This window comes from Homo sapiens, chromosome 18 (genome assembly GCF_000001405.40).
Source record: "Homo sapiens chromosome 18, GRCh38.p14 Primary Assembly".
Taxonomy (NCBI): domain Eukaryota; kingdom Metazoa; phylum Chordata; class Mammalia; order Primates; family Hominidae; genus Homo; species Homo sapiens.
The window spans coordinates 34,560,876-34,575,876 of NC_000018.10; the positions used below are offsets into that span (position 1 = coordinate 34,560,876).

At 37.3% G+C, this 15,001-nt stretch overlaps 1 protein-coding gene and 1 pseudogene across 31 annotated transcripts in view, besides 1 other annotated feature; one reads left to right on the forward strand and one right to left on the reverse strand.

Annotated features, from left to right (window-relative positions):
- DTNA (dystrobrevin alpha) overlaps positions 1 to 15,001 on the forward strand; it is a 398,533-nt gene that overhangs the window by 67,564 nt on the left and 315,968 nt on the right. The gene's annotated exons all lie outside the window — the stretch shown is intronic.
- Positions 1,661 to 2,256: an enhancer, noted in NCBI's record as "NANOG hESC enhancer chr18:32142500-32143095 (GRCh37/hg19 assembly coordinates)". NCBI's record gives its function as "activates a minimal SCP1, AML or CMV promoter by ChIP-STARR-seq in primed H9 embryonic stem cells {active_cell/tissue: H9 hESC(primed)}" and the evidence as "EXISTENCE:reporter gene assay evidence [ECO:0000049][PMID:30033119]".
- On the reverse strand, positions 13,111 to 13,624 carry RPL10AP13 (ribosomal protein L10a pseudogene 13; annotated as a pseudogene).

A 15,001-nucleotide genomic window follows, 5' to 3' on the forward strand; every position in this document is an offset into this window, starting at 1 on the left:
CATGCCACTGCACTCCAGCCTGGGTGACAGAGGGAGACCCTGTCTCAAAAAATAAAATTTGAATAACGTTTCTTGATTTCTTTCCATTAAATATTGACATTGAATCAAAAGAATCTGAAATTATTTGGTTTAACATATTAAGTTCTATATTTTCATTTTTGATCTATTTAAATTGAATGTTAATTATAATCTGCACAATAAATGTGATCATTATGAGATGGCATTTGATAGTGAAGAGGATAGCTTTACCAGAAAAGAAAAAAGTCCTATTTTTTTCAAGATGTGGCAACAACTTTACAACTATATACTACAACAAACATGACTGTGACAACGGATTTTAGCATCACTTTCTTTCAAAGATAAAATAGGTTCCCCTAAAAATACTCCATCTTCCTAACATTTTAAAGAAGGATCGAGATGAAATTTATAATACTATCATTGGGAGCCTTAAGAATTTTACAGAACTTCTCAGTACTGAAATCACTACTCTCTCAGGATATTTTTTCATGTGTTTTAAAACACGTGCTGTAGTGAAAGATTATACTGTTAGACTTTTGAAGTACTGGTGAAATAACTTGTTTAACTCTTCTAAGTTATATATTTGATATTTGCTGCCTTCTCAACATCACAGTTGAGTTGAAAAAAAGTAGTGGCTTTCTTACAATGCTATTGAAATAGCATTATTTCAATAATAATGAATAACAGGTTGGGCATGGTGGCTCATTATTATTTCAATAATAGTGAAATAATGCTATTTAATGGCCTTATTTGCTTGTCTTCTTTACAAATCAGTGATTGAACAGTATAGGGAATAATCAATTTTTATCGTACCTCATAATTTATAGAAAAAGTATTAACATTTTGCTGCATGTGCTTACTACGTTAGAGAAAAAGGTTATAAATGGATGCTATAGCAACATCCTGGCATAATCCTTCATTTATTGACAGTTTTATTGAATATTGTGATTTTTATTGATTTAGTAATAAATTTCATTTTTGAAACTACTTTTATCTACTTATACTTGTGCCGACGGAAAGTGAGAATGTTGTACCATGGCAATTATTAGAGAATACATTTTAATCCAGTTAAGTGATTGCATTTTTTTCTTTCCACTCTCCAAGTTATCTTTGTTTGTATTTAAGAGTATTAAACTCATTTCCTTTTTTTCCACATACTAGAGACTGTGGTAAAGTTATGTGGTGTTTTCTGTAAAATAAGTTTGGAGCCATTAACTGTTGCTTTACTGTCAAAGGACATTTATGTATTCCAAACTGTTTCTTATAATAAAACCGTACAACAACAATCAAGTTAACTAAAAATCTCCTTTAAAAGAATACATACACATAAATACACACACATACATCTTTAAATAAATTTTAAAAAACGAACCCTGCCCCTAGTTTCACATTTATTACTCTCCATTGAAGTTGCTTTAAATCCACCAAAATTTAGAGACACACAAAATATGGGGGATAAAGAACTTCCCGTTATTTGAGTATGAACTATAGTTCTGCGCAACCTTAAACTAAGAAAAGGTTGGTGTAATCATTCCACTTTGTTCTATTCTTAGACTTCGTCCTCAGTCAGAAGTTAATAATAGAGATATGATGCCACCGGAAGTGGCATCTCCTTCCTTTTTTTTCTTTACCATGCAGCATTCTACTTTTCTCTGCCATTCATAACATTGGCAGAAGGGAACTTGATAATGAGAGAAAAGATTTTTCTCCCTGCAAGTAATAGGGACTCTTACCTGATGATCACTTAGGGCAGTACTCAAAGTGTGATCCCCTGGGCATCCACATCAGCATCACCAGGGGCTTGTTAGATACACAAATATCTAACTCTGAGGGTGAGGCCCAGCAAATCTGTATTTTAACAAGCCTCCTGGTGATTGTGAAGAACACTAAAGTTAGAGGACTACTGATTTAGGGAATAGTTATCATGACAATCACGTTAATCACCCATTAGAGAGTGCACAGATAATTCTATGCTATCCTTAAAGATCTTCTCCAAATTTATTGTTTAAATGCAGGGAAAAACGATGTAATGAGGTACTGTACCTTTGGACAAATTGCAAATTAGGAAAAGTTGTCCCTGAAAACTTTTGACTGTGGAGAATTTACCTAATGAGTTACGGCGTGAATTTGAGAACTTCAAAGACTGAGAGCTTGTACTGGATTGACTAGCTTCCTCCAAAATGTTCCCAGTGGCAGTTTCACGTGGAACTACCCAATGTGACCTTAGCTAGAAAGAGGGTTTTTGCAGGTATAACAGTTAGGATGAGGTCATACTGGATTAGAGTGGGCCCTAAATTCAATCCCTGGTTCCCTACTGGGAAGGTCATTTAGAGAGGCATACATGGAAGAAGGTTGTGTGAAGATGAAGGCAGACATTGGAGTTAGGCTGCCACAAGCCAAGGAATGTCAAGGATTGCTGCCATCCACCTTGGCTAGGAGAGAGACATGAACAGTTTCTCTTCCAGGGCTTTCAGAAGGAACCAACCCTGCTGACATCTTGATTTTGGATTTCTGACCTCCTAAACTATTATGGAATAAATTTCTGTTGTTTAAAGCCAACCAGTTTTTGCTTAATTGTTATGGAAGCCTGGGGAAACTAACAGAGGGCTTTGTAGGGTTTATGTTTTAAGAGTATTCTTTGCCTTGCTCTTAGTCTATAAAGACCTTCTCATTAAAATGTGCTTTGTAAAGAAATATGCTCTCATCCTTCCCACCTCATCAGTTCCTCCTTCCTCTTCTGCTATATCCACCCCACACATTTGTTTGTTGGTTTTAAGTTTCATTGAGTTATAACTGACAAATTAAAATTGTATTATTCAAGGTGTACAAAGTGATATTACTCTCCACTGAAGTTGCCTTAAATCCACCAAAATTTAGAGACACTAAACTACATTCAGAAAATGTGGGGCGGGGGAGAAATTCCCCTGTTTTTCAAATATAAATTATGGTTATGTTTCTGCAAGAACCCCCAACTAAGAAAAGGTTGTTGTAATAATTCCAGTTCATTCTATCCTTACACTTCCTCATCAGTTTAAGGATATTCATATCCATCACCTCACACAGTTGCTTTCGTATGTGTGTGTGTGTGTAGTGAGGATGGTTGAGATCTACTCTCTTAGCAAGTTTCAAGTATACACTACATTATTATTAACTACAGTCACTATGCTGTACATTAGGTCTCCAGAAGGCAGAAGGCGGAAGGCTTTTATCGTATAATTGCAAGTTTGTGCCCTTCGACCAACATGTCCGTACTTCCTTTTTTTTTTTGAGATGGAGTCTCCCTCTATCACCTAGGCTGGAGTGCAGTGGCTCAATCTTGGCTCACTGAAACTTTCACCTTCTGGGTTAAAGTGATTCTCCTGCCTCAGCCTCCCCAGTAGCTGGGATTACAGGCACGCGCCACTACGTCCAGCTACTTTTTTGTATTTTTAGTAGAGACAGGGTTTCACCATCTTGGCCAGGCTGGTCTCGAATTCCTGACCTCAAGTGATCCGCCCGCCTCTGCCTCCCAAAGTGCTGGGATTACAGGCGTGAGCCACAGCACCTGGCCCCCACACTTTTGAAGGATCTTTGAAGAGTCTAAGTTCAACTGGGAAAGTCATAGTCTTATTTATTGTTGGGGAAAAAGAAACTCTACTGGGAGCATATTAAATACAAAGCCCTTTTCATTGTGGAGAAATAAAGCATTTGTGTATTTTTAGTTAGAAATTATGCATATTATCTCCCATTCGTCTGTCTTTCAATAAAATTTTAAGTTGAGGTGTATTGTGTTTCTTAAGCTGCTTTATACTCATTTGTTCAAATACATACCAAGCCTTTAATTAGACCATTTGGCTATTTTATTTGCAAATAAGTAATACTATTAAGTGTATCTGTGCCTCCTTCTGTTGCTGTTTCAATTGTGTCATGAATGCACTGACCCTCCATAGACAGGGTTAATTGGAGTGTGGGCGTGAGTGCATGCATGTGTGTGGCTGCCTGCTGTAGACTTAAGATAAAGAATGGAGATTTACCAAGCAAAGCTTTTATGTCTTAAAAATAAAACATATGTAATTATGAGTGATATATTTAGGAATCCTGCCTTAATAAAATTAATTTGCATGCACTCTACCTTATAGTAATAGTTCTGAGTGACTTTGCTATTTTTTCCCAAACAGCTTAGCAAAGCATCTATATTGTAATATGTAAGTAGGCATTTTTAAAAGTCATACAAATGAAAAGAAACATTTAATAAGAATACAACTGTGCTAAAATAATTTAAATGACTTGAGAGATCTGCCTTTATTATATGTAGATTTATGCTATTTCTCTAGCCAGTAAAACAAACATACAAACAAATCCCTATTTCATTCTTTCAGCACTTCTACTATGTGCCAAGTATCAGTTATTAAAAATAGAGAAGAAATTCAGAGTCTTGCTTTCAAAGAGTGATAGTTTTAACAGGGAAGAGGAATAATAGACAGTTAAGAATCTGCTTAAGGAGAAAACTGGGCCCTTGGGCAGGGGGAAATTTAGAAAGGGTACTGTATTGGCTTCCTAGGGCTGTTGTAACAAATTAACAGAAACTTGATGGCTTGAAAAAACAGACATTTATTTTGCCACGGTCAGGAGGCTAGAAGTCCAAAATCAAAGCCCCAGCAAGGCCACACCTTCCTCTGCAGGCTAAGTGGGTGGTTCCTCCCTTGCCTCTTCTAGCTTCTGATGGCCCAGAGCATTCTTTGGCTTGTGGCAAAATAATTCCAATCTCTGCCTTCCTCTACATGACTTTCTTTGTGTCTCTCTGTCTTCTCTTCTGTCTCTCTTATTAAGAACCTGTATCCTTGGATTTAGAGCCCACCTTAATGCAGGATGATTTCATCCCAAGATCTAACTTAATTATGTCTATAAAGACTCTTTTCCCAAATACTGTAATATCCACAGGTATTGGATGGACTTATCTTTTGGAGACCAGCATTCAACCTGCTACAGCCACCTAGAGTAGGTGACACCTCCATTGCAGATCGGGTTTGAGGAGAGAGGGAAAACACATAGTGAGGTATCTTAGGCATAGACAATGTGAGATGTGCAAGTCTTTCCCATTGACACCAAAATGCCTGGCAAATAGCAAGCACTCAGTGACTGTGGGAATATTAATGAAATACACTCAATGAAAATGGCCACTAGCAGGTGGACATAAGTCTAGTAATCAGGAGAAAGTCCTGGGTTGGACAGAAGAATGGACAAGATTGCCAATGCAAGCTGTGTGAGAAGCGAAAAGAGTAAAGCAATGACCAAGTAATGTCCATCCTTGAGAAATTCTGAAGATGAGGCTGAGAAGGAGTTTGTGGAAAAACAATAGGGAAACCAGCAGAGAAGGGTGGCATAGGAGAGAAGAGAGAAATTAATCTTTAAAAAAAAAAAAAGGAAGGTGTCAGATTAGGTTAAGCTGATTAAGTAGTATGAAACCTGCATTTGGGAACTTTGATATACACAGTTTCAGAAGTTAAAAGTCCAATTTTTCATGGATTAAAAATGGTAGAAAGTTTGACAAACATCTAGAATTTTTTTACCTAATGGACAAAGAAATTAAACCAATACATGGCCTTCCCTTCATAACACCCAATGCACATGTTTCAGAGAAAGTTCTTCAAAAATTCTGTGTGAGGACACATGTCTGTGACCTGTCTTCTTTGAAATATGAGACAGACTGTGCAAGTTGCCACAGATTGTTAGAGCCGCTGTGCTGGAGTCGTCTACTTGTAACCTCTCTTCTCGTTGCAGGACATCTTATTATATTCACAGTGGGAGAATCCAGTTTCCAAACTGTAATTCTAACTCTGATCTTCCATGTAAAAGCATGTTCTCCAGGGATCCTACTGAATCCACTATGAAACATCAGTCAGGCCTACATAAAGTAGATCAGAGACCTTCCTGATCAGTAGTGTGAAAGATCTTGAGAATAAAAGGAGCCTTAATGTTTATACACCATAGAGATTTAAAACTGCATTATACTTTGAAGCCATCATCACCTTTTTTCTCTGCAATGACATCTGTTGTTAAGTGCATTTAGGTTTTTTAAGGTTAATAACTGAAATACCCGGATCGCTGTAATCTCAACTGTTGGAAAGACACTGAATAAATCATTCCATGGTATGTCGTCAATATACCATCAATTTTGCCTTTTCAATTCCATGTTAAGGAGTGGTTGAACCCTGAGGTTTCTTTTGACCACTTGATATTCCCCCACAAAATTTTTGAATTAGTCACAATGGTAACTATGTTCAAGCGTGCTTGCGTCAACTAACATTTTTTTAATTTAAGGATGGTAAATTTGGGCATTTTAGATGTCTTTATTTTAATTGTTAACAATCAATAAGCTTTTAATCCTTTTCTTAGCTTTATGAACTGAGATTATGGTAAGTATGTTTATTTTAAAAACTTAAAGTGGATTTACTATTCGTTACCTTAAAAAGTTGAGCTTTAAAATTAGGTGAAATAAATGATGTTATTTAAAAATCAACTTTTTGGCTGTTATGATATTTTTAGATTGGGAATTTAAGAATTTAAATGAGATTATGAAGGAAGTCATTTAAAATTTTGTTTTATAAATACTTTGTGTTAGACTTAATAAATCAGAATTTAAAAGTATACAGATTGATAAGAAATTTTTAAGTTGAAGCATATACAAAATCTGATTATATAATTTTATGTCACTTATAATAACTGATAACCTATAAACTTAGAACTAACATCAATCAACAGGTCAACAGCTTTTGTCTTAGGGTTAAACCATGCAATGTTATAGATCTTAAAAAAAAATTTTACCTAACTGCTATTTTGACATCAAATTCAATTAAGAAATAACTCCAAGACTTCAGCACATCTTAGAAAAATTCAATAGTGTATATTTTCTACTCTTTTATATTCACAAAACACATATATGTAACTAATTAGAATTTAATAAGCCTTTCACCCGAGAGAAAATTTTGGTCTCTGTAAAGCTTTTATCCTTGCCCTACTTTTAATGTCACTATCAAGTATGTTATTCTGCCGGGTTTTTAAAAATACAATTTTATGTTATTTTCCTGCATGTTGCAATTATGCGGTTTTCTTACATGAATATTGCTTTATGGAGAGAATGCTCTTTGAAATTTTAGAAAAAAAATGAATATTGTTTCTATAGAAATAGGAATACTCTGAGCAATAGATTGGGAAATGAGACATATTCAGTATGAATCTGAGTCTTTGTTGTTCACACTAGATGAAGGGTAATTTTATAAAAATAAGGCCAAGAAAAAAATGAAATATGGGATTTCATAGTTTATCTATGATAAGTCAAGCCATTTTATTCTGCCAATAACTCAGCACAATGTAGCCTCAAACCACTCTACACCACTGTGTATATGTGTGTGTTTGTGCAGTGATATGATTTGTCAAGGCATTCTGGCGTTAAAAATTTGAGAGAGATTTTTACTGGCTTTTGGTTGTAAATCATGTTATTTCATAAAGAAAAAGATAAGATCTTAGGTAACGTGAGTTCCTGGCACTTCTGTTCAGGGTTTATCTCATTCCCTACAATTTCCCATCTGCCACTCATCTTCATTTTATCTCCATATTTTCTATCCTCTATCCTCCTTCTCTGTTGTCTTTTTACTTTCCTACAGTTTCCTCATGCATAATCATAAAAGTCTCAATTTATTATTACTCCTTTTGAAAATTTATCCCTAAAGCATTTATAATTTTTTTATTTTCATTTATTTAATTTTTTTGAGGCAGAGTTTCTCTCTGTCACCCAAGCCGGAGTGCAGTGGCACGATCTTGGCTCATTGCAACCTCTGCCTCCCAGGTTCAAGTGATTCTCCTGACTCAGCCTCCTGAATAGCTGGGAGTACAGGCACGTACCACCATGCCTGGCTAATTTTTGTATTTATAGTAGAGATGGGGTTTCACTATGTTGGCCAGGCTGGTCTCAACCTCAGGTGATCCGCCTGCCTTGGTCTCCCAAAGTGCTGGGATTACAGACATGAGCCGCCACACCTGGCCCATTTCTCATTTATTAAGTGATAATTAACTAATCAAATATATTCATGACTGTCAATCAAGACTCTTGAACATCTGAGGAAACCCATGTTACTATGCTGAATCCATGGTATTTCCAGCACAAAACTTTGACCCTTAACAGGAGGCCAGAAATGCAAAGTCAAGTAAATTGTGCCCCTACCTTCTGTGAAATGGCCTGGCTGGATCTGAGCTCATTGGATTCAGCCCATCTAGAGACTCAGTCATGTTCATGAATGTACACACCCAGACATTTTTGTGTGTAGAAATGTGTGTACAGGAGAAGGCTTGAGTGAATCGTAAGGGAAAGGAAAGGAGGAGAGGTTGCAGATGTGAGAGAGGAGATCATTATTAGACCAAACTCGCAACAGATTGTCTGAGAAGGACCTGAAGCACAGGTGGAAGATTAGCCTTAGGAAGGAAAGGGAGTACTTTTCCTCTTAAACAGAAAAGGAGGAGTGAACCAATAAAGATAAGGGGAACTTTTGAGGTAAATGGAAACAGAGTTGAAAGTGATCATGTTGGATGACATCTATTTCTTGGTGATAGTGAGAAAAAAAAAGCAAGGGGTGGGACTGAGTCTTGAGAAGAACCAGAAAGGATTCATCTAACTCAAATGCATACTGCATTAGTCAGGATTCTACAGAGAAACAGAGCCAATAGGATGTGCATATATAGAACTATTTATTTTAGGGAATTGGCTCATGTGACTATGGAGGTTGACAAGTCAAAAATCTACAGAGTGGGACAGCAGTCTGGAGACTCAGAAAAAGTTGATATTGCAGTGCACATCTGAAGGCTGTCTCCTGCTGAATTCCTTCTTGGTTGGGGGAAGTCAATCTTTGTTCTATTAAGGCCTTTAGCTGATGGGATGAGGCCCACTCACATTATGGAGACCAGTCTGCTTTACACAAAGGCTACTGATTTAAATGTTAATTTCATACACATACACACATACACACACACACACACACACACAAAATAATAATAATAATATCACAGAAACATTCAGACTAATGTTTGACCCATGGCCCAGCCAAGTTGATACATAAAATTAACCATATGACACATACGTTCCATTAGCTGCCAGGCTAACTCCTTGTTCTTCAAAAATCAGTTGTCCTGTCTTCTCTCAAGGAGACCTTCCTGTAAACCTTTCCCTAGGTGGGAGTTTGCCTTTTTGAACTAAATTGCCAAACTACCCTGTGTTTACTTCTGTCATAAAAACATCTTTCTTTAATTCCCCCCACCAAAATCTAAGCCACTGAGTATAGTCATTTAGGGAGTTTTTTCGTTCACATCTGTATCTCCAACACCTAAAATGTCCCCAGGTGCATTGTAGGCACTCAATAAAAGTGATGGATAAATGAGGTAATAAGTTGCATTTATTTTCTATCAGTTTTACTACTCTCTGAAAGCAGCGACAGAGTCTTAATTACTTTTTTATACCTATGAGGTAATAAGTTGCATTTATTTTCTATCAGTTTTACTACATTGTGAACTCTTTGAAAGCAGGGACAGAGTCTTAATTACTTTTTTATACCTAACATCTAGCACAAATTAAGAGCTCAGTAAATGCTTACTACAGAAATAATGGAAGTGTGACTTACCAAATGTTTACTCTGTATTTTTCCTTGTCCCTGAATACTTCACTTTTATTCCAAAGATTTTTTTAAAAACCACATTCTGAAGAATTTGCACAGATTTGCATTGCTGTATCTGGAGAAATTATACTAGCAACAAGGGTTATAAATCACAAAATACTGGTGGTAGGATCAGACATCAGCAGTTTTTAAAGACCTGCGGGTAATTCCAGAGGTCACAAATCCTTGCACTAGATGCAGTTAAAGTGGGGAAGTTGTTGAGGAAGTTTAAAAATTTTGGGTACCTCTATGTAAGGCAGAGCTACATGGGGATACCAGGTTGGAAGCTTTGAGTGGGCTCCAGGGGAGGAGTGAAGGATACCTAAAGAGGAGAAAGAAGTACTGAAAAGAAAGCTATGAGGTACTTTGTAAGCACCTCTGAGTATTTACCATGTATCAGGCACAGTACTAAGTGCTTTGCATTCATTGCCACTTGTCTCCATAATAGCCTTTGTAAGGTATATAGTGTTACATTCTTTTCACAGATAAGGACACTGAGGTTCGGTTAAGTTCCTCACATCAAGCCAACAGAACAGCAAAAAATTCAAGCCTATATTGACTGGCTACAAAGTTTATGTTCTTTCTGATACATCAGCAGTTCTCAACTCTAACTACAGAGCAAAAGCACCCAAGTCTGTACCCCACTTATGATCAGTTATATGAAAAGTTCTGAGTAAGAGGCACAGTCCTCCATATTTAACTTTAAGTCTCATCAGTATTTCTAAAATGTTTCCAGGGCTGAAAACCACTATCAGAAACACTGTAGATACTCTTCCATTTTGCCAACTCTCATACTGTGTGCTTACAGGTGTTCTCACCCAGGAAAAGAGACTTGACTCAGTTTATGAATGGCGCACCCTAAACTCAGATGAAATATTCTGAACAGACTGAGTGTGGTGGCTCACCCCTGTAATCCCATCACTTTGGGAGGCTGAAGCAGGAGGATGGCTTGAGAGTCCAGGAGTTTGAGACCAGCCCGAGCAACATAGAGAGACTCCATCTTGACAAACAAACAAAAAAAAAGAAAATCTTGAATAGTCATGCACTGGCCCTGTGATTTGAGGTGCTCTTAATTGGTGGCTGCTTTGATGTTAGCAAGAGTTTTATCCTGTTTAATTTAAATTAATGAAATGGATTACATCATGCCTAGTCTCTAACTCTCTGCAAAGGGTCCTGCTCAGGGCCGTTCTGCCATTGTAAGCTTTCTAGCACAGCTGATGCTTTTTCAACATACCCCATTCCAAAAAGTAGGTACTACCTGGGCCACACACACATTCACCATAAAAATTAAATTGAATAGGTATCAAGAAACAATTAAGTTTCATATCAGATTTTCTTCCATTAATTTTGGCAACACAGCGTTCATTTTTCTTTGTATTATAAAAACTTGTTGCTAATGTCCAGGGTCACCAACCTCATGTGAAATAAAATGCATTTGTGCAAGGCCCTGACATCATATCAAAATTCAGTCAGTTATCTTAATGCATAATATATATGTAAAAAATCAAGAGAGACTGGGGAAGAAAAACACAAAAATGTGAGTAGAATGGTAAAAGTTGTCTACCCTGGCTGCACATTAGAATCTGGGATAAACAGATTTAGATAAACAGATGCTCAGAACCCAGCCCTAGAGATTCTGATTCAGGCCCAGTCTGACTGGGCCAATCGTTGTTATCCCTAAGTGATTCAAATCTGCTGTTTTTCTTACCTTTCTCAGACTTTCCACTGTTGTAGAAAATGTGTATTAAATGAGAATACTCTGATTCATATATTTTCTGTCAACCATGATAATGATGATAGTTACTCTAATTGAGCTTGCTATGTGCTAACCAATTTTCCTAAGTGTTTTACATATAGCAGCTCATTTAGTATTCACCACAGCTACTGGGTGAGGCCAATATTATTATCATCTTTTTGCAAATTAAAAAAATACATTTATAGAGATTAAGTAACTCACTGTAAGGCACAGCAGAGGCGGAATGTGAGTTCAGGGCTTCTAGCACCCCGTACTCTTAGAAACTTAAGTGAGTTTATGAAATAAACCATATTATGTCTCCCCAGCCTTCCCATCAGGTTCCCGTTTCCTCTTGACTTTTGCAGAGTCTAATCTAGGTATAGGCTCACCAGTTCTACTATTAGGTGCCTAGGAGGTTCTCCCCCACTTCCATCTAACTCCCACACCTGCTGTATTTACCTTGCAGTGGAACAGAACCAAGTCTTTGAGATTCAAGGAAATACAGCTAGGTGGTTCATCTGCTTTGGGAAAGTGGCCTCTTTATTCCTGAAAACAGTAGAAAGAATGTAAAGCTTAAGAATCACACAGATATAAGATCAAATTTATGTACTTTCACTTATTAATCCTGAGCCCAGGGCAAGTCACTTAATCTCTCTGACATCCCATTTCTTAATCCATAAAATAGAAATAATGATTTCTAAATCACATGATTTAAAAGGATGAAGTAGAATAACATATAGAAGGTTCCTTTGCACACAGTAGGTGCTCAGTAAACATGGGTTCCTTCCCTTTTGCTCTGCTCCCATGTCACATATACAATTAACTTTGCACCTGGCAACTCCTGTTTAGCTTCTATATTTCTGCTTTCCTTTATTCCTTTATTCCTCTGTGTTTAAAAGTCTGTGCTAAGTAGCCAAAGTTTTGTATGAGAAAGGTCTGCTGGGCAAAGCAGAAAGCTACACACATAACACAACTTTAGGGCCCTAAATAAATATTAGGAACAAAAATGCCTCTCAAAACTTTATAGCCTCTCCTGCTTCCCTCCTCTCCTGCCACTGCTACCACCAATATATCCAAATGCCTAAAATCCCGTTTTAAGATCTCTCCTAAGGAACTTATGAAGAACATGCATTAGTCTCAATAGGCACCTGTTACCTCATTTTGTTTACACATGGCTACATGTTGTCATACTCTATATGCTATAACCATTAATTGACATGAGACTGGGTAAAGGACTGGATAAAGGGTAGGCTCTTTTTTATTCTTCTAATTGAAAAATTAAAATTGTATACATTTATCATGTACAACATGATGCGTTGCAGTATGTATATATTGTGGAATGGCTCAATCGAGGTAATTAACCTATGCATTACCTCATGTAGGTATCATTTTTTGTGGTGAGAACACTTAAAATCTATTTTTGTGATTTTCAAAATATCATACATTGTTACTAACTACAGCCACCATGTTGTACACTGGATCTTTTGAACTTATTCCTCCTGCCTAGCTAAAATTGCGTATCCTTTGACCAATCCCTACCCATCCAGCCCCTAATAACTAACCACCATTCCAGTCTGTAGTCTCGAGTTCCACTCTTTTAGATTCTACATATAAGGGAAGGTTCTTCGCTCATTTGTGTGTGTGTGGCACTGAAATGTATTAGAATGTGCTTTCACACAAGCACTGGGGCTTGCCCATGGTGCTCTTCATGTTTAAAGTATGGACATTCTGCCAGTTCTTCTAGAGCAGCGACACCAGGAAGCTGACAGTGAAGTGGATGTTACATACAAGCTCATCATCTGCCATCTTTAGGGGGCCAATGGCCATGGCCAGACATAGCCCCCTTTTCATCTGGAGCTTGATTGTGGGCTCCCACCTCATCAACTTTGGCCAACATATTCCCGTTGTGTGTCAGCAGGGAAGGGAACTTGCCAGCCTTATTTAGGCCTGGGCCAAGGATCCATGGGATCTGCTTGATCTGAGACTCCAAGGCCAAATGGTACCATACCTCTTGGCCAGCCTCTTGTTCTTGTCGAGTTTCTCCAGTGCCTCCAGGTCCATACGGGGGACTCCACAACCTTGGCCTTGTCACAGTGCTGCTGGCCCCCAGGATACACACAGAGGAGTGGAAGTGGGTTGTGGACTTCAGCCCAATGATGCCCCAGAAGTGTTTGTCCTTCTTAGAGTCACAGTGAGCAATGGTCTGGGCCACACCCTGCAGGAGGCATCGCTGGGGCCGTCCAGGAACTTCACACACTCACATGTTTTTGGAAAGGTAGAGCTGCAGAACAGCTTGAAGCCAACAGAAATACCTGTTTTTATTGTTATTATTATTATTATTATTTTAACAGTCTCTGTCTTCCAGGCTGGAATGCAGTAATGATGTGATCATAGCTCAAGGCATCTTCTAACTCTTGGGCTCAAGTGATCCTCCCACCTCTACCTCCCAAGTAGCTGGGACTACAGGCACAAGCCACTATGCTCAGCTGATTTTTATTTTTATTACTATTTTTGTAGACATGGGTTCTTGCTGTTTTGCCCAGATCTTTCTATTTCCTGGCCTCAATTGATCCTCCTGCCTAAGCCTAGAAATACCTCTTCAAGTTTCAATTATCTCTAGTTACTTTATTGTTCATGAGAAATGCCTGTTTTTCTTAATGTATGGTAGTCTGGTTGAACAAGTCATAATATAATGCTTTTACTAAAATAGTACAACAACGTAGAAATAATTCTTTTCTATAGGTGTCCGGCTCCTCAGAGGCATAGCTGATATTGTATCTGCTGTGAAACATTTCTTCTCTCTTTCTAGAGTCTCTTTCCTGTAAGGTGAACTTCTTTTGAAGTTTCATTTTGATAAAATTCCATCACTCGTTTCTTGTCAAGCTTTTGAACTTCATCTTCTATCTTTGCATTTTCTGATACACTCTTGCTTTGGAATATTTTAATATAATGCATAAGCTTCTTTTAGTGAATTTACTGTATATTTGATTATTTTTTCAAGAGTTTGTAAGGAAGATTTTACTTGATGTTATACGTGATTCTTCAAAACTCTTCATCTAAGTTGTCTCTTATTTCTGACTCTCTTACTATATCCAACACCTAGTGACCACTGTCCATTTCATCTCTAAGGACAGCAAACAAATCTGTCATCTTCAACAAACATTCAGTCAAATGCTAGATCTGATGTTCCTTCTCATGTAGAATTTTTTCCAAACATGGTCTTGAAATTTCAACCTCCTTTTTTTCTATGTAAATTAAGACCACTCAGTCTTCCTTTACCTTTGTATAAAAGTAATTTTCCATTTCCCTAAAGTTTGGATTTTTCATCGAAATTTTTCTTTAATACTATCTATAGCTGTGTTTTACTTTTCTGACATAAATTTCAAGATTATTCTGGTTTAGCTACTTGGGATTGGATGGATTCTGATTTATCCTTCAAATGACTGTATTATAGCCTTTGTGTAACATCAACCATCATGCCATCTTCTTCTGGATAGTTAGATTTTTCTTCCCCATTTTCCCCTAGAAAGTCTATTTTAACCACAATAAAGAGTAGGACTAATCAGTT